Source organism: Homo sapiens, chromosome 1 (genome assembly GCF_000001405.40).
Source record: "Homo sapiens chromosome 1, GRCh38.p14 Primary Assembly".
NCBI lineage: Eukaryota > Metazoa > Chordata > Mammalia > Primates > Hominidae > Homo > Homo sapiens.
In genome coordinates, this window is record NC_000001.11 from 235,170,148 (window position 1) to 235,189,870 (window position 19,723).

A 19,723-nucleotide genomic window follows, 5' to 3' on the forward strand; every position below is an offset into this window, starting at 1 on the left:
AAAGGCTGGCAAAAAAACTACCCCAGGGGCAAATCTGGCTTACTTGTCTTTGGAAAGAAAAATTGTACTGGAACACAGCCATGCCTATTTGTTTACATATTGCCTATGGGAGTTTTCACACTTACCATGGCAGAGATAAGTAGTTTCTACAGAGACCACATGGCCCACAAAGCCTAACATATTTATTGTCTCTTTACAGAAAATGTTTGCAACCCCTGTTCTACAGGAATTTTATCTCTAGAATCTAGAGATATGATATGCAAATTTAAAATATATAGATATAGCAACACCTTTAAAAACATAAGTGGAGGCCGGGCACGGTGGCTCACACCTGTAATCCCAGCACTTTGGGAGGACTAGGTGGGCGGATCACAAGGTCAGGAGATCGAGACCATCCTGGCTAACACAATGAAACTCAGTCTCTACTAAAAATACAAAAAATTAGCCAGATGTGGTGGTGGGCGCCTGTAGTCCCAGCTACTAGAGAGGCTGAGGCAGGAGAATGGCGTGAACCCGGGAGGCGGAGCTTGCAGTGAGCCAAGATTGCACCACTACACTCCAGCCTGGATGACAGAGAGATACTCTGTCTCAAAAATTAATAATAATATTACAAAAATTAGCTGGGCATGGCGGCACGCACCTGTAGTCCTAGCTACCCGGGAGGCTGAGGCAGGAGAATCGCTTGAACCGGAAGGCAGAGGTTGCAGTGAGCCAAGATCGCGCCACTGCACTCCAGCCTGGTGACTGACCGAGACTCCGTCTCAAAAAAAAAAAAAAAAAAAAAAAACCACACACACACAAGTGGAAGCATAGTTCAGTGTCTGACTTTTTTTTAAACAATATATTTTAAGAGATTGTTCCATATCAGTACATACAGATCCTTTTCTTTTCAAAGTTGAGTAATATTCTACTATATTACAACTCATAACTTATATATTTCACTACACTGTTCCTGCATTGGTTTTAGTTTTAATTTTTTTGGTAAGAATGATACCTTATTTGGGCCAGTCGCAGTGGCTCATGCCTGTAATCCCAGCACTTTGGGAGACTGAAGCAGGCGGATCACGAAGTCAAGAGATCGAGCCATCCTGCATCCTGGCCAACATGGTGAAACCCCATCTCTACTAAAAATAAAAAATTAGCTGGGCGTGGCAGCACGCTTGTAATCCCAGCCACTCGGGAGACTGAGGCAGGATAATCGCTTGAACTCAGGAGGCGGAGGTTGTAGTGAGCTGAGATCGCGCCACTGCACTCCAGCCTGGGCGACAGAGCAAAACTCCATCTCCAAAAAAAAAGAATGATACCTTATTTGATTTGCATTTCTTTGGTAACCAGGATAAGCATTTTCCTATGGATTTTTCTTAAAATAGTATTTAGGAACCGACTTTTAATGCTAACCCAGTAGAGAGGCTCTATTTAGCAAAATCATTCATTATAAAGAATTTGTGGTGACTATATTTACAAAACATTGTTTAGAAGGAGTTTCTGGATAGATGTCTTTTTTTTTTTGAGACAGAGTTTAGCTCTTGTTGCCCAGGCTGGAGTGCAATGGCATGATCTCCGTTCACTGCAACATCTGCCTCCTGGGTTTAAGCAATTCTCCTGCGTCGGCCTCCCAAGTAGCTGGGATTACAGGCACCCGCCACCGCGCACAGCTAATTTTTTGTATTTTTTAGTAGAGACGGGGTTTCACTATGTTGGCCAAGCTGGTCTCGACCTCCTGACCTCAGGCAATCCACCCACCGCAGCCTCCCAAAGTGCTGGGATTACAGGCATGAGCCACTGTGCCCGGCCTCCTCCCAGATTTTAATTTATCTCACTTCCTCATGTCATTCAGGTATCAACAAAAATATACTGACCATTTGTAATCTAAAGTAACCCATCCAATCACTACCTTAACATCATTTTCTTCATAGTGCTTTCAATATCTGAAATTATCTTATTAGGATGTTTTTGGTAGAGTATAAACTCTATGAAAGTGAATATTATGATCTGAAATAATTTTTTTATTTGAGATAATTTCACTTTAGAGATGAGGAAAATAAGATAAAGAAATTAAAGAATTTGCCTGAAAATAGACAAAGTCATGGCAGTCTAACTGCAGAGTGAGAAATTCTGGTTTATGTTTAAATAAAGTAAAAATACTGGCAGGGCACTCTTGGCTCACGCCTGTAATCTTAGCACTTTGGGAGGCCAAGACAGGTAGATCACCTGAGGTCAGGAGTTAGAGACCAGCCTGATTGACATGGCGAAACCCTGTCTCTACCTAAAAAATACAAAATTAGCCGGGCTTGGTGGTGCATGCCTGTAATTCCAGCTACTTAGGAAGCTGAGGTAGGAGAACTGTTTGAACCCAGGAGGTGGAGGTTGCAGTGAGCCGAGATTGCGCCATTGCACTCCAGCCTGGCGACAAGAGTGAAACTCTGTCTCAAAATAAATAAATAAATAAAAATAAAGTAAAAATACTTACTTTCTCTCTCTTTCTTCTTTAAACGCTTTCTCCTCCGATCAATGGAAGCTACTTCAGATTTTAATGACAGATAATGTTTTCTGATTTCTTGAAGTTTTTCTTGAAGAATTGTGATGCGTTCGGCACTTGTCATATTTTCCAGGTCCGCTATAAATTTAAAGCTTTCATTAACAGACATTTTTAAAGAAAATTTTAACATACAAAAAGGAGAGAACATCGAGCATGGCTGCTGAATAAGGTTGAGGCAGATGAACTAAAAAACTAAGGCTTCTGAAATATTTGTTTTCCAAATTTTTTATCTAGCCTAGAACAATGCCTGGCACATAATAAATGCACAGTATTTGTTGAATGAATATGTACAGCATTAAACACCTTAAGATCTACATATATCCACATCCATATACAGTATTACCACAGTAAAAAATCACACTTAAAAATAAAACTGGGGCTGGGCACGGTGGCTCACACCTGTAATCCTAGCACTTTGGGAGGCCGAGGTGGGCGGATCACGAGGTCAGGAGTTCGATACCAGCCTGGCCAAGATGGTGAAACCCTGTCTCTACTAAAACTACAAAAATTAGCTGGGCATGGTGGCGGGTGCCTGCAATCCCAGCTACTCGGGAGGCTGGGGCAGGATAATCGCTTGAATCTGGAAGGTGGAGGTTGGAGTGAGCCGAGATTGTGCCACTGCACGCTAGCCTGGGCAACAGAGTGAGACTCTGTCTAAAAATAACAAAAACACAAAAACAAAACAAAACAAAAAACCTGGAAAGACACCAAAATGCTAAATTGTACACATTTTGTGAGTAACAAGACTGTGGATAAATTTTTCTCTTCTGTTCTCTGTTATTTTTTAGGTTTTTTTAAAGAGTGTGTAAAAATTTAAATTAGAAGGCAATTTTAAAAAGCTCTAAAGCAATCTTCAATCTCCTAAGAATACTTAAGGTATTTCCTTGTGTGAAAAACTCTAGAGTAGTATTAAAAAAATATACATATTGGCTGGGTGTGGTGGCTCACACCTGTAATCCTAGCACTTTGGGAAGTAGAGGTGGAAGGATCAGCTCAGTCTTGAGCTCAGGAGTTCAAGATTAGCCTGGGCAACATAATGAGACCTCGTCTCTATTTAAAAAAAAAAAAAAAAAAAAAAAAAAAAAATATATATATATATATATATATATATATATATATATATATATGTATACCTAAAACATATATATATATACCTTTTTTTAAATGAAGATTTATGAAGATTTCTCACATATACAAAAGTATAGAGAGAAGGATAGTGAACCCCATGTACTCATTATCCAGCTTCAGTAATCATCAATTTATGGCAAAACCTGTATCATCTGCACCCCTATCCATTCCTCACCCCTAACACCAGATACTTTTAAATCAAATTACCGACATCATATCAGAAGTATCTTTTTTTTTTTTTCTGGGATGGGGTCTCACTCTGTCGCCCAGGCTGGAGTGCAGTGGCGCAACCTCGGCTCACTGCAACCTCCACCTGCCAGGTGCAAGCAATTCTCCTGCCTCAGCCTCCTGAGTAGCTGGGACTACAAGCGCGTGCCACCACGCGCAGCTAATTTTTTGTTTTATTAGTAGAGACAGGGTTTCACCATGCTGGTCAGGCTGGTCTCGAACTCCTGACCTCGTGATCCACCCACCTCAGCCTCCCAAAGTGCTGGGATTACAGGCATGAGCCACTGCGCCCAGCCATATCAGAAATATCTAGTCAGTGTTGGCATTTGCCTCAACTGCCTTAAAATTTTTCTTTAACCAATTTATTTATTCAAACCGGGATCCAAATAAGGTCTATACATTGTACATTAGTACATCTATTAAGTTTGGTAAAGCCTCTTTTTCAGAGTATTGGCATGAAGAGTTACTAGGATTGGGGCTGGGCATGGTGGCTCATGCCCAAAATCCCAGCACTTTGCGAGGCAGAGGCGGATGGATCACCTGAGGTCAGGAGTTCAAGGCCAGCCTGGCCAACATGGTGAAACCCCATGTCTACTAAAAATACAACAACAACAAAAAAATTAGCCAGGTGTGGTGGTGGGCGTCTGTAATCCCAACTACTCGGGAGGTTGAGGCAGGAGAATCATTTGAACCAGGGAGATGGAGGTTGCAGTGAGCAGAGACTATGCCACTGCACTGCACTCTAGCCTGGGCGACAGAGAGACTCTGTCTCAAAAAAAAAGGCCAGGCGCAGTGGCTCATGCCTGTAATCCCAGCACTTTGGGAGGCCGAGGCGGGCGGATCATGAGGTCAGGAGATGGAGACCATCCTGGCCAACATGGTGAAACCCTGTCTCTACTAAACACACAAAAAAATTAGCTGGGTGTGGTGGCGCGTGCCTGTAATCCCAGCTACTTGGGAGGCTGAGGCAGGAGGATGGCTTGAACCCAGGAGGCTGAAGATTACAGTGAGCCAAGATCGCACCACCGCACTCCAGCCTGGTGACAGAGCGAGACTCTGTCTCTAAAAACAAAAACAAAATAAAACAAAAAGAGTTACTAGGATGAAGTTTGTATGCTTGTCAATTTAACATGTCACTTACACATCTGAAAACTCCATTTGTAAACTTTGGGTAATCGATTACTGGGTTCCTTGAGATCAGGATCCTTATCACCATTCTTTCCACATTTTCCTGGAGACTGCGTCCTTGCGGGAGATTTGGTACTATGAGACTTCATTCCAGTGGAAACTGATTTGACTGGCTGACTCTTAGTTATACTTTCACCAGCTGAAAGTTCTTCACTATCACTACTATTTGCTGAAAGAGAAAGAAAAGATTTAATAAACAAAAATGTAACAATAAATTTGTCACAGATTTTAGTAGGTAATTTAAAATTAGCCATTTGAATTTAGTCCTACAGAAAACAACCTGCCTAGAAACCTGGAAAATCATATACAAATGCAGCAGCATCTTAGGAAAAGCAAAAACAAAAAATTCTTCTTACCTGAACTGCCAATAATATGTATACTTTTAAAATCACTCACACTAATCTATCATTATGCTTGGTAGACTGTCAAATATACAGTAATCATCTGAATGGCTTTTTACTCTATTATGTTAATACATAAAATATATCATCTTTTAAAATGATTAATTGTAGAAACCTCTACAATGAATATGTAACATTGGGTATATGCAACATTTTCCTGCTCCTTTGGCCACAAACAAATAATGATGCACAATCATCATATTCAATAAAGAACTCCTCGGGAATAAACTCTGAAGTTTGATATGTATAATGAAATTACTCTTAAATAACTCCTATGCTGTGGGTTGACTAAAATAATCAGTTTCACCCTAATAAAATATTCAGTATTTTATGAACAATTCAGAAGTCTGTGTAACAATTATGTTACAACTGCTATTGCTAATTAAACTTCAGCACTAAAATGGAAATACTTGACCTTGACAGCTTACCATGTGAACAGGTAGGTGATGGGATTAGTATTTCCATAGATAACCTCTTTCTGGATACAAAGTATTAGTTTAGATTCCATCAGAATTAATTCATGTTACTAAATTATTCTCTTGAATGGTTAACTCATTCTGATTTACCATGGCAGAATCCCAATAAGTAAAATGGGAGAACACTATATCTCTGTATTATATGAATATACTAAATAACTCATTGAAGATGCGCTCTCTTAGGAAATGTCATTTAAATAGTAAACTCTTGAAGACAAAAACATCACAGTGAAAGAAAAAACACTTTAAATATCCTACCAGTTACACCAAACAATTGATGACTGACTGATTTGGCATATATTTACTGATTTTTCACTTAACAACATCACCAAAAAAAAAAAAAAAAAAAAAAAAAAAAAAAGGAGTTAAACTCTCAAAGCCAGAAATTATTCCAAATAGTAAAGGTAGATAGCAGCAACTCCTCCCACTGTGAAATTTTGGGAATAAAGAAACTCCACCACTGGTTGACACATATACACAAATTCCCTCCCAGCTCCCCCACTGCTGCTCTGGAACCCCTGGCAACTCCTAGCTAAGCCACCCAAGGCTTGGCCCCACTCTATGCAGTGGACTGTCTCAGCCTGGCTTTCATGGCCTTGCTGAGCACAGCCGCCCGGGGCCCCAGGGACGCCATATTCACCGCCTGGAAGTCATATGGGCTCAGCAGAACCTCGGGGAGCTGGCCGAATAACCCTTTTCTGCACTGAAGTGCAGCCAAGCCGGCTGCTAGCAAAGGTCAGGCAGTGGAGGTGGCAGGAGTCTCCTGGAAGAGCAGCAGGAGGTCAGTGTGGGGCACCTGAAAAAAAATTCTTTACATATTTTCTGCTTCTTACTTTGTCTACAAAAGAGAGATAAAATGTGCAGCCCTCAGAAGAAATACAGTATATATATTTTCTGTGGATTGATGCACGGAGTCGTTGCTAAAGTTGGAGCATACTTAGCAAAAAGTATTGTTTGTAGTTACTCTCAGGTCACATAATATAGAGTACCAAAGACAAATGTTGTAGACTGGAGTTGTTGGAATTATAGTTCTAAAGTTATCTTGATTGTTATACTTCTATGCTGATTTTGCCTTGAAGAATTACTAAGCAATCAATTTCACTGTAATAAAAATAACATGTAGTTGAAATATTTCACAATGTGTGATACATTTTATAGCAAGTGAAAAGAACTGTGGAATACAAAGGTAACAAATATGTTGATGTTTATAATATATTGGCTATTATTTCAAAAACAGATTACTTGATTTTTCATCAGCAATCAATACCACCGCTGAATAACACCAACTTGCTTAAAACTAGAATTTACCTAAGATTAGAAAACCTGTGTTTTTTTTGTTTTGTTTTGTTTGTTTTTGCAGAAATTCTTTTTTCTTTTTATTATTATACTTTAAGTTCTAGGGTACGTGTGCACAATGTGCAGGTTTGTTACATAGGTATACATGTGCCATGTTGGTTTGCTGCACCCATCAACTCATCATTTACATTAGGTATTTGTCCTAGTGCATGTTTTTTTTTTGTCTATTTTGTTTTTTAAAGCAAGTAGCCTTACAGAATTTGTGTGACTTTTTTTGAGTGTACAGACAAAATCAAAATAGTGTACTATCCCATACCCTGAATACCATTTTCTTACTGGGGGTAAAATTATCAGCTATTATTTTTATATTTTAAAAATTAGAGATTTCACACTTACTGCCTTTTCCCTTCTTTTTGTTGTTTACCACTGTTGCTTTATGGCTTCTTTTCTGCTTTTTTGATGAACTTCCTCCTCCCTGAGCATCTTTCACTCTTTTCTGACCTGTACAGGCTATGAAGGGAAAGGAATTAAGTAACACAAAATAAAATCCAACATTCCCTAAGTATAAATTAATTCCACATTTTAGAAACATAGAACAATCCAAAACTACATGTTCTTTATGACATTTATAAGTTGTCACAGAACTTACTACAATTTTTAAATAAACTGTCATTAATGGAAGCTCAATTCTTATACATAATAAAAGTCAGGGTTTTTAAAAAGGCAAACAAAGTATGCACATCCTTCTTTAAAAAAATCAGATATAAACTGAAAATAGTCCTTAATATAGTACTGGGAGTTTATAAGCCTAGTAATTAAAAGTATATGCTGAAAATAAAAACTGAAATTTGTTAAGATTCAATAAAACCAAAATATTAAGACTTAATCACAGGTTAAAATGTTAATGACATTATGTCTTATAATCATATTAATATAATTTTTAAATGATATAAATGAGGTAAATTTTAGCAGTAATTCATACTTGGTTCTTTTTTACCAATTTATGTCAAGAATAACTAAGCTCCCAGGGCACTGTTTGGTTAACATGCATACCATTTACAAATCCAACATAGTAGTTCTAAAAAACGTCTCATCTTCTTGGTGGGAAATTATTGCAAAACATTACAAATAAATGTCTCCCTTTTCTTCAAGGACTAGCCCAAGTCCTACATCTTCACTAAGATGTTCCAGGCTTCACTGATCAATCACTACTCTGAACTGTAGCATTTTTCTATACTACTCATTTGGTCCTTAACATCTGCTATATTTCTGTCTAATTCATATATGTTATCTCTCAGACTATATAAAGTAAGATTTTTTCTCCAGAGACTAATAAAGTACTATCTCCATTCAGTTCCAATGTCAGACACCAAATCAACCTTCTGTGTATAAAACCTAACTTCCTTGATCAAAAACAGGACAAGTAATTAACTGTCTGCAACTTCCTAGCTTTTTTTTAATGGGTCATATAATCTTACTTACAACTTTTCCTAATACCTTTTTAAATTTTTAATATTTCTTTTTTATTTTTTACACCAAGTATGTGACCCACCTAATGTCATTTTAATATCACAATTTAAGTGAAACATAAAGGAGACGTAGATATTGACCATACTGAAGCACAGAACCATAATTGTCAGGTTTCTCTCCAAGAGAGTTTAATTCTAAAGTGTTCAGATACTAAGAAATAAAAACCTTCAATGTAGAGTAAATTAAGAGGAAAAAACTACATCTAAATAGTAAAACTTAAATTTTAACTTGTGATATAGTGGGGAGTCTCCAATATTCATAGTAAGTAAATTTATTAAAATGTGGCCATGTGAAACAGGTGCTTAAGAACCTATTTCTGGCTGGGCGCGGTGGCTCATGCCTGTAATTCCAGCACTTTGGGAGGCCAAGGTAGGTGGATTACCTGAGGTCAGGAGTTCGTAGACCAGCCTGGCCAACATGGCGAAACCCCATCTCTACTAAACAAAATACAAAAATTAGCCGGGCGTTAATCCCAGATACTCAGCAGGCTGAGGCAGGAGAATCTCTTGAACCTGAGAGGTGGAGGTTGCAGTGAACCAAGATTGCACCACTGCACTCCAGCCTGGGCAACAAGAGCAAAACTCTATGTCTCAAAAAAAAAAAAAAAAAAAAAAAAAAAACCCAACAAAAAGAAAAACACCAATTATTTCTAAAGAGATATAAATTACCCTAAATTTAGGAGTAGCTTTCAAATTCCACAATTATTAACCTAGTCAAGATTAAGATTCAAAAGGGCAGTGTTGACTTAGTCTATTAGCAGAGAAGATATCCTCTTTTTTTTTGTTGTTAATTTTAATCTTTTGTAAGATATTACGAACATAATAAGGATACAACCTCTTAAAAACTACAACAATAGGCTAGGCACGGTGGCTCATGCCTGTAATCCTAGCACTTTGGGAGGCCAAGGCAGGCAGATCATGAGGTCAAGAGATAGAGACCATCCTGGCTAACATGGCGAAATGCCATCTCTACTAAAAATACAAAAAATTAGCTGGGCATGGTGGCACACGCCTGTAGTCCCAGCTACTCAGCAGGCTGAGGCAGGGGAATCACTTGAACCCAGGAGACGGAGGTTGCAGTGAGCCCAGATCACACCACTGCACTCCAGCCTGGGCAACAGAGCGAGACTCCATCTCAAAAAAAAAACCCCCAAGAAAACCTATAACAATAAAACCTGTTTTTTTCTTTCTTTTCTTGTTTTTTCTTTTTTTTTTTTTTTTTTTTTTGAGACAGGGTCTTGTTTTATCACCCAGGCTGGAGTGCAGTGGCGTGATCTTGGCTCACTGCAGCCTTTCCGGGATCAAGTGATTCTCCCTCATCAGCCCCCAAGGTAGCTGGGACTACAGGCATGCGCCACCACAGCTGGCTGACGTTTGTATTTTTGGTAGAGATGGGGTTTTGCCATGTTGTCCAGGCTGGTCTTGAACTCCTGGACTCAAGCGATCCACCGCCTTGACCTCCCAGACCTCCCAAATTGCTGGGATTACAGGTGTGAGTGACCACACCTGGCCAGTAAAATCTTACTGTTGAAAGCCTAATATTCTGAAATAAAGGATTCTTTCATTTTGAAGATTAGTCATGCCTGGATAGTTCAGTTGCATGAGATAGTATGGCACAGATAAAATCATAGTAGTTATACTTGTAAATGTGAAAAAAAGCAAAGAACATTTCAATTTAATTGCAAGTATTTTTTTAATTTATTTTAAAACAGAAATGTTTTAAGTCAAGATTCCTGAGAAAACATAGAATTAACTAATTTGATCTAGACCATATCTCTTTAAGCTTTGCTGAAAACCTAAAGCTAGCATTCTAAAATCTTTTACGGTATATAAAAAACATACTCCAGTGCTCTGTCTTTACGATGGAAAAGTGTGTTCCAAAGCCAGGTGTCAGCCTAGAGTATACTGATTTAAAGATACCTGAATGAAGTGGTTTATAAGAAAAATGATGACAGAAGTATGGCTATGGCACCATCGAAAGGCACTAATACTTTGGGAAGGTACCGATTTGAATTTCCACTTTTAACAATTTCACGGAAAATCAAAAAAGTATTACTGTAGGTTATTAACGTACACATTGGTCCTTCAATTTGGAAGCTATGCATCTAAGAAAGCATCAAATTCCTTTACAAACTCACACAAGTTAGTCAGGCTTGAAAATCAGTTTGACACGGTTGTCTGAGGAAAGCAGTGCCTGGACAGTTGGTTGCTCCAAACCCCTACATACAGTATTTGGTTAAGGGTGGAGGGGTCTGTCAATAAATCAAAATGTTCGTGAGAAACTGCACATTACAATTGCAAAAACAATGTTACAGAAATAGATTTAAGCTGCTCATGCCATATAGTCAACCACTGCATATAATGAATTCTCAAACAGGTTTGGATTTGGGCCTGGGTGCAATTTCTAGCATGTGTTCTGGTCCACAATAAAATGCCATGGATGGCTCAAGCAAAGCACATTAAAGCCTTCTCAAGCTTTTAAATGCATTCCACTATTCATTTTCAAATTACCTTTAAAATTTCCATTTTTACCATGTTCACACAAATATGACACTTAATCGCCTCAGGTTATAACAAGAGATACTGTGAAATCATTGAAACTTTAAGAGGGGAAACCCTAAAATAAGTCAACATACACATTTTCCTTCTCACCTTTTTCAGGATGTTCTGGTTCTGGCTGATTACTACTGCTTGAGCTCACACTGGCATCAAAACCTGCTGGCGAGCTATTCCCTTCAGACTGGAGGTCTTGGAGCTCCCCAGCAACACTATCCACCTCAATTGTGCTATCAGTTTCACTCTTGATACTTCGAACCTCTTCTTGGTTTGGAGCCAGTGGTTCTGATACTGTTACAGAAGACTGCTGCCGGCTGCCTTCTGTTACAGTGACTGATGAAGGCGATTCAGGTGTAGTAGGAGGGGTATTTAGCACTGAATTACTGCCACTACTTGGAAATTCTGCTTTTCTGTCATTGACCTCTACTGTTTTTTCTTCAATGGGTTTACTATCGACATTGACTGGAGGTGGTTTTTCTAGTTCTACACTGGGTGAACAACTCTCCTCTTCAGCCACAGTCTGCAGTGACTCCTCTGCCACCCCCTCCTCTGGGGCAGGATGCGGTGGGGAAGCTGCAGCCTCAGTATCAGAGTCTGAAAAAAGCTCTTTCAGCGTTTTTTTAGGCCACTGTCCCTGAATACTTGACCAGACATCTTTTCGATCTTTGGCCCTGCTGTTTTGAAGTCTTTCATCAGAGTTATTTAAAAGTTTAATCCTTTTTTCTGCCACTTCTGAAAATCCTGAATAGAAACCAGTTGTCCGTAGAGATTTTCTTTTTTCCTCCAAACCATTGTATTTCTTAGTTGGTGTCATCTTTGCTTTTGTTTCTTCTTCATCTTCATCTGAAGAGCTGTTGCTACTGTTTTCCATGCAAAGTGATTCTTTGTTCTTGGCCTTCTCTTCCTTTTTGCCAGGTGATCCAGTTTTTAGACACTCTTCTGTATTGCAATACCTTCTTTTACCACGTTTTATTTGTGGTTTTGAAGATTTATCTGTTGTGTCCTTCTTGACATCCTTTCTCTTTTTTGTGACTTCATCTTCTTCATAATCAGTATCTTCGGATAATACTTCTATATCTTTCCTTAATCTTTCTGGAGATTTTGACACTGGTTTGGATATTACCAAATCTGCATGAACTTTGTTTTCTTCTAGCAAAGATGAACTGTTCTGTTCCTCCTTTGAAATAAGATCATTTCTGTTGTTGGTCAAATGATCAATCTTAGATTCCTCTTTGCCATTATTATCCATGTCTTGAGCACCTCTCTCATCTTCCTGCTCACTGTCTTCAGCAGAACTTTCAGAAGCTAGAAAATAACAGAAAAAAAAATGATGAGTATGATAAGAACACTAGCAATGTCTTCTATGTGCCAGGGACTGTATATATTAGGTCCTGTGTATACAGCCACCCGAGGTTGCTGGCTTTTATCTCTATGTAACATGCAAAGAAACTGGGTTTCAAAGAGGCTAAGAGGCTCTTCCAATGATGGAAATGTTCTATTACGATCACGGTGATGGTTGTAACACTGTATACTTTTGTCAAAACCCATCACATTTTAAACATAAAAGTCATCACTTTTATGTAAACTGTACCTTAATAAAGCTGAAATAAAAAAGAAAAAAGCTTCTCCAAGTTTATATAAGTATAATATTTTTATCATAATATATCTGAGAAAATAGTGGAGTCAGGATATAATCCCAGATTGTGCTACCTCCAAGTTAATATTCTTCTTTTTTTTTTTTTGAGTCTCACTTTGTCATCCAAGCTAAAAGTGTAAGTGGCGTGATGTCGGCTCACAGCAAGCTCTGCCTCCTGGGTTCACGCCATTCTCCTGCCTCAGCCTCCTGAGCAGCTGGGACTACAGGCGCCCACCACCACGCCCGGCTAATTTTTTGTATTTTTAGTAGACACGGGGTTTCACTGTGTTAGCCAGGATGGTCTTGATCTCCTGACCTCGTGACCCGCCCTCCTCGGCCTCCCAAAGTGCTGGGATTACAGGCGTGAGCCACCACGCCTGGCCCCAAGTTTATACTCTTATGAAACTATAGCCTTCATTTTTCTTTTCATCAGAGACGGTCTCACTCTCTCATCCAAGCTGGAGTGCAGTGGCACAATCACAGTGCACTTCAGCCTCAAACTCCTAGGCTCAAGAGATCCTCCCACCTCAGATTCCTGAGTAGCTGGGATCACAGGAGCAAGCTACTGCACCTGGCCTCTCATTTTTCTTTCCTTTGTTTTGTTTTGTTTTATTTTCTTTCCCTCCCTGCCTCCCTTCCTTTCTCTTTCCTTTCTCTTTCTTTATTTCTCTCTCTCTCTCTATTTTTTTCTGAGACAGGGTCTTACTCTGTTCCCCAGGCACTATCATGGCTCACTGCAGCCTCAACCTCCTGGGCTCAAATGATCCTCCCACCTCAGCCACCCAAGTAGCTGGGACTACAGGTGTGCCACATCCAGTGAATTTTTGTATTTTTTGTAGAGACAGGGTCTCGTCATGTTGCCAAGGCTGGTCTTGAACTCCTGAGCTCTAGCAACCTGCCTACCTCAGCCTTCCAAAGTGCTGAGATTAAAGGCATGAGCCACCACACCTGGCCAGCTTCATTTTTCAATGTAATAATGAATATCCAATAATTTTGTAATCAATGATTTCCATGATGTTTTAAAGAATAGATATAATTAATTTTAGTTACTGATAACTTATGTAAAATTAATTATGGAACTTACTGCTTCAGTGTGTTCATTCTGGTAAATCATTTTATTGTTATTTTAAGATAACATTTCCTGAGAACTTACTACATGCTGGTTACTTTTGATACACTTTGAACAGACCATCTCATTCAATCCTCAGAACAATGCTACGAGATACATGTTATCAGCCCCACTTTATAGTTCAAGAGACTAGGGTCTTAAATAAATAAGAAAAACAAACAAACAAAAAGCAACACAACAAAACAAAGCAAAAAAAAAGGGACTGGGGTTTAGAGGTTAATCTACCCCCCAAGGTAGTTAAATCTAAGTCATTTAACTCCAGAACTTACAACCTTAACTATAGCTCTCTACTGAGAAATCCATGCATGTTCTTTAGCTAAATTCATTAAATGTAAAACATAACTGACATAACTAAGATTGTGAAACCATTTCACCTTTACAATGTGTGTCTGCATGGCCACATTTTTTAAATTATCAAAACAATACATATACATCATTAAAAACAAATCTAGACTCATAATGAAAAACCAAAAAGAGGATAAAAATCTGTTTTTCCACCTCCAAAGTGTTAACATCTGATAGTTATAGTCATCTCTTACTATTCATAATATACTATTTGTTTTATTTATTTTTTTGTGTGTGTGACGGAATCTCACTCTGTCACCCAGGCTGGAGTACAGTGGTGTGATCTCAGTTCACTGCAACCTCCTCTTCCTGGATTCAAGCAATTCTCCTGCCTCGGCCTCCCAAGCAGCTGGGACTACAGGCACATGCCACCATGCCCAGCTAATTTTTGTATTTTTAGTAGAGATGAAGTTTCATCATTTTAGACAGGCTGATCTCGAACTCTTGACCCCAAGTGATCTGCTCATCTCAGCCTCCCAAAGCACTGGGATTATAGGCATGAGCCAACGTCCCTGGCCTGCTGACTTATTTATAAAGTTTATCCTCTATGAGCAATGGGGATTCTTACTTATCAACACCCATATCTCCCCTCTACCATCCTTTCTATATATAGTTATCTTTCATTTTTACAATATAGTATTTATAACATATGTAAATGTGGTTCCCTGCAGAAATAAGTAGTACATTTGATAAACTTCCTTTCTTATACAGCATTTTATTTTTCCAAGAGTTTCCAACTACTTTTCTGCATGTTACATCTTCCTTTGTATCTCTTTTACATTATTTTATTTCATTAAATTAAGCGTTGTATCCAATTTCCCCTTATTCATCCTATCTCTGCACCCTAGAGAGCTATTTTCTGCAGTAGCATCTGGGTGGTATCTCTCTGGGTCTGCTCTAACAGCTGTCATCCGGGGAATCCTCCTCACTGCTTTCTTTTGAGCTAGGTCCACTGTTAACTGAATCTCACATCTTCTTCTTCCTTGGTTATCTCATCTGTACTAGAGCTCATCGAGTAGTTTCCTTAAAAAGGTACATGGGATATAAATATTCATCGTCCTTACTTATCTGAATACATCCTTACCCTCAAACTTCATTGATTGAGAGTTTCACGAGGTACAGAATTCTAGGTTAAAAATTGTTTCCTTCAGAGTTCTGAATCCTTCCGAATGTATTGCTTCTTTGCTTAAGGGGTTATAAGCCATAACCTTCCTTTGGTTTCTCATTCCTTTGTGGTGATTTTTTCATTCTTGATATTTTATAATTTCATAATGATGTACTACGGTATGACTCTATTAATTTATTCGGTACCTAGTGAGCAATTTCAATGTAAAGATTTGTGTCTGTCAGTTCTGGAATTTTTCTTTAGTTATTTGCTTTTTTTTTTTTTGAGACTGAGTCTTGCTCTGTCATCAGGTTGGAGTGCAGTGGTGCAATCTCAGTTCACTGCAACCTCCACCTCCCAGGTTCAAGTGATTCCCCTGCCTCAGCCTCCTGAGTAGCTGGGACTACAGGTGCATGCCACCACACCCAGCTAATTTTTGTACTTTAGTAGAGACAGGGTTTCACCGTGTTAGCCAGGATGGTCTTGATTTCCTGACCTCGTGATCCGCCCACCTCAGCCTCCCAAAGTGCAGGGATTATAGGCGTGAGCCACCGCGCCTGGCCTCTCTCCTCTGTTTTCATAGTTCCCCCTTCCTAGATTAATACATTATGTAACCTATCTTTTCTCTAAAATTTCCATCACTGCTCTTTTAAACTTTCTGAAGATTTCCTCCATTTAAAATTCTTAATGCTCTACTGAATTTGCTTATTTTTTTTTTTTTTTAAGAGACAGAGTCTCGCTCTGTTGCCCAGGCTGGAGTGCGCTGGCAAGATCTCAGTTCACTACAACCTCCACCTCCCGGGTTCAGGCAATTCTCCTGTCTCGGCCTCCCCAATAGCTGGGACTACAGGCACACGCCAAGCTAATTTTTGTATTTTTAGCAGAGATGGGGTTTCACCCTATTGGTCAGGCTGGTCTCAAACTCCTGACCTCAGATGATCCACCTGCCTCGGCCTCCCAAAGTGCTGGGATTACAGGTGTGAGCCACTGTGCCCAGCTCTACTGAATTTTAATTTAGATTTTTTGTTTTTGTTTTTTTTGAGACAGGGTCTCTCTCTGTTGCCCAGACTGGAGTGCAGTGGTGCAGGTTCAAGCAATTCTCATGCTTCTGCCTCCTGAGCAGCTGGGATTATAGGCACCAACCACCACATTCGGCTAATTTTAATATTTTTATTAGAGACACGGTTTTACCATGTTGGTTAGGCTGGTCTCGAACTCCTGACCTCAAGTGATCTGCCCACCTTGGCCTCCCAAAGTGCTGGGATTACAGGCATGAGCCACTGTGCCTGGCCTTTAGATTTTTATCTCCAAGTCTTTCTTGTTCTTTTCTTTTTCACTGCATCTTATTCTTTTCTTTTTCACTGCATCTTATTCTTTTTTTTTTTTTTTTTTTTGTAGACGGAGTTTCACTCCTGTTACCCAGGCTGGAGCGCAATGGCGTGATCTCAGCTCACCGCAACCTCCGCCTCGTGGGTTCAAGTGATTCTCCTGCCTCAGCCTCCCAAGCAGCTGGAACTACAGGCATGTGCCACCACACCCGGCTAACTGTTTTCTATTTTCAGTAGAGACGAGGTTTCTCCCTGTTGGTCAGGCTGGTCTTGAACTCCCGACCTCAGGTGATCCGCCTACCTTGGCCTCCCAAAATGCTGGAATTACAGGTGTGAGCCACCGTGCCCAGCTTATTCTTGTTTTATAGATACTGTAGGTTCTCTGAGATTAACAAGAGATGATTAAGAATGCCCTATTAAAACTTGATTGACACTACTGTTAGTAGGATTTATTAACTGATAGGCTTTACGTGATTCATCCCGGATCTAGTTTACTCTAGGGGATTTCCACTGCCAGAATGTAGAAGATTATTCTCCAGAGACATTCAATTTCTCCACAGAACTCCAACTACCACTGTACCTCTAGTTTTATTCCCAACCCATCTCAGGACAAGAGGATAGAATCTTAGCTGTCTGTGTTCTCTACTCACAAGGGGCATCAAATTTTTATGTATACATATACATACACATATGCATTCATATGATGATCATTAATTAACTGGAAATATTTGAAATGTCTTCAATTTGATCTGTGGCCAAAGATAAAAAATAAAATTCACTGAAAAAAGAAAATATGAAGAGAATACTTAAAATGTTAAAAGTATGCAAATATGATACTCATTGTTGAACTAACAGGAAAAATATGGGAAAGGATCAAAATGTCTTTTTTTAGCAACTAATTAAATAAATTATGATATATCTATTCAGTAGATGTGGATGTGCCGATTTGGAAAGATTTATAAGTTATACCACTAAGTAGGGGAAAAAAAGAGTTTGTAATATGTTAATGATCCCATCTGTAAAAAGACTGCACACATGTGAGTGTCTATTACACATATAGGATAAATATGTGTGTGGGGGGGTTTGGGGTCATTGTATATGTGTTATATGTATGTGTGTGTGTATATATACTCATATGTCATATATATGGTATATAAATGCAATTTCTGAAATAATATAAACCTATAAAAATGGGGGAAAATACGAAAGAAAAGCAACACAATTTGCAAGTCAGAAAGCAGATAAATGAATGACGGGCACCAAAGAAGGCTAAACCTCATACCAGCAGTGAGGAAAGCCAAAAACCAACCCAGTTTACCATAGAAACCTCAATAATTACTGACTGCCCTAGTGCCTATGAAAATTAAAAAGGGCAGTGGGGAGCCTCATACAAGGAGCACTGGGTGAAGACTAAAAATTACTTAGATGCCTAGATCCCCACCTCACTTCAGGTTGGAAGGTGACTGCCCTTCTAGAGCTTTATTCTCTGAAGACAGTAGGAGAGGGCTCCTAGCCTGGGAGATGCTAACAACTGTTGAAGGCACAGGTACAGATGCGATGCTGAAATTAGGGGGATTCATGAACATATCTAACCACTAAGAATCCTCCACCCCACTCTCTGTTCTTCAACTAGATCCTAGAACACTGGAAACCATTCTCTTACCACCCTCCAGTCAAGAGATTGGAACTCTTTTCTCTGGAAGCCAACTAGTCTAAGAGAAAAAGACCTAAAGACTTCATATTATGAATTCCCTAGGACATGGCCAACCAGATCACCCGATAGTGAAACTCAAGGTCAACAAGTGCCAACCATATGCTTGCAATTTCCAAATCAGTTTAGTCTTTCCTTCATAATCATAAGACAGCCAGGAAAAAAAATTCTTAATAGGGAAGAGCTCAAAACAACAACACAGAAAAAAGCAAATTAGAGGTAACTGAAAAAACCAAAAATTATAAAATCCTTTGAAAGATCAAAATCCGAAAGGTAAGGTATTGCATCCATCTATAAGAACAGAGTGGTACAAAACACACAGAAAACAGAGCTCTTGAAAAATTAAACTAGTTTAATTTAAAAATATTCATTGAAAGGCTGGGCGCAGTGGCTCACGCCTATAATCCCAGCACTGTGGGAGGCTGAGGCAGGTGGATCACAAGGTCAGGAGTTCAAGACCAGCCTGGCCAAGATGGTGAAACCCCATCTCTACTAAAAATACAAAAAATTAGCTGGGTGCGGTGGCAGGCGCCTGTAATACCAGCTACTCGGGAGGCTGAGGCAGGAGAATCGCTTGAACTTGGAGGGCAGAGATTGCAGTGAGCCGAGATCATGCCACTGCACTCCAGCCTAGGCAACAGAGTGAGACTCAGTCTCAAAAAAAAAAAAAAAAAAAAAAAAATCATTGAAAACTTAAACATTACAGCAAAAAGTCAACAAAAGGATTAAAAGACAAAGCAGATAAAATTTCAAAGAAATAAAAAGACAAAAAAATTAATAAAAAGCAAGAAATTAAAAGGTGAGCATATTAGAGTATATTACAGAAGGTATAATATCAAATAATGGCTGGCCAAAGAAAGATAACAGCCAAGTGCAGTGTCATGCACCTATACCCCAGCTACCCAACTACTTGGGAGGCTGAGGCAGGAGGACTGCTTGAGCCCAGAAGTGTGAGAACAGCCTGGGCTGAACATAGTGAAACACAGTCTCAATTAAAGAAAAAAAAAAATTTGGCAGGGCTGGGACAGTAGCTCATGCCTGTAATCCTAGCACTTTGGGAGGCTGAGACAGGAAAATCGCTTGAGCTCAGAAGTTTGAGACCAGCCTGGGCAATATAGTAACACCTCA

The 19,723-nt window shown here is 39.3% G+C and overlaps 1 protein-coding gene across 11 annotated transcripts in view, besides 1 other annotated feature; it reads right to left on the reverse strand.

The window, feature by feature from the left end:
• The window catches only part of ARID4B (AT-rich interaction domain 4B), a 161,278-nt gene that overhangs the window by 3,246 nt on the left and 138,309 nt on the right, over positions 1-19,723 (reverse strand). For 9 of the 11 annotated variants that reach the window (XM_024447626.2, XM_047422531.1, XM_011544212.4 and 6 more), the window contains 4 exons: positions 11,438-12,646; positions 7,653-7,766; positions 5,037-5,252; positions 2,471-2,617 (listed from right to left, as the gene is read on the reverse strand). In XM_024447626.2, the coding sequence (XP_024303394.1) occupies positions 2,471-2,617; positions 5,037-5,252; positions 7,653-7,766; positions 11,438-12,646 (1,686 nt within the window). Of the gene's footprint in view, positions 1-2,470; positions 2,618-5,036; positions 5,253-6,600; positions 6,757-7,652; positions 7,767-10,923; positions 11,038-11,437; positions 12,647-19,723 lie in introns of those variants that run through there. The other 2 variants (NR_135074.2, XM_047422532.1) reach the window with 2 other exon arrangements.
• Positions 1,422-1,628: a silencer, noted in NCBI's record as "fragment chr1:235334884-235335090 (GRCh37/hg19 assembly coordinates)". NCBI's record gives its function as "represses an EF-1alpha promoter that drives an FKBP-Casp9 reporter gene in an ReSE screen in K562 erythroleukemia cells {active_cell/tissue: K562}" and the evidence as "EXISTENCE:reporter gene assay evidence [ECO:0000049][PMID:32094911]".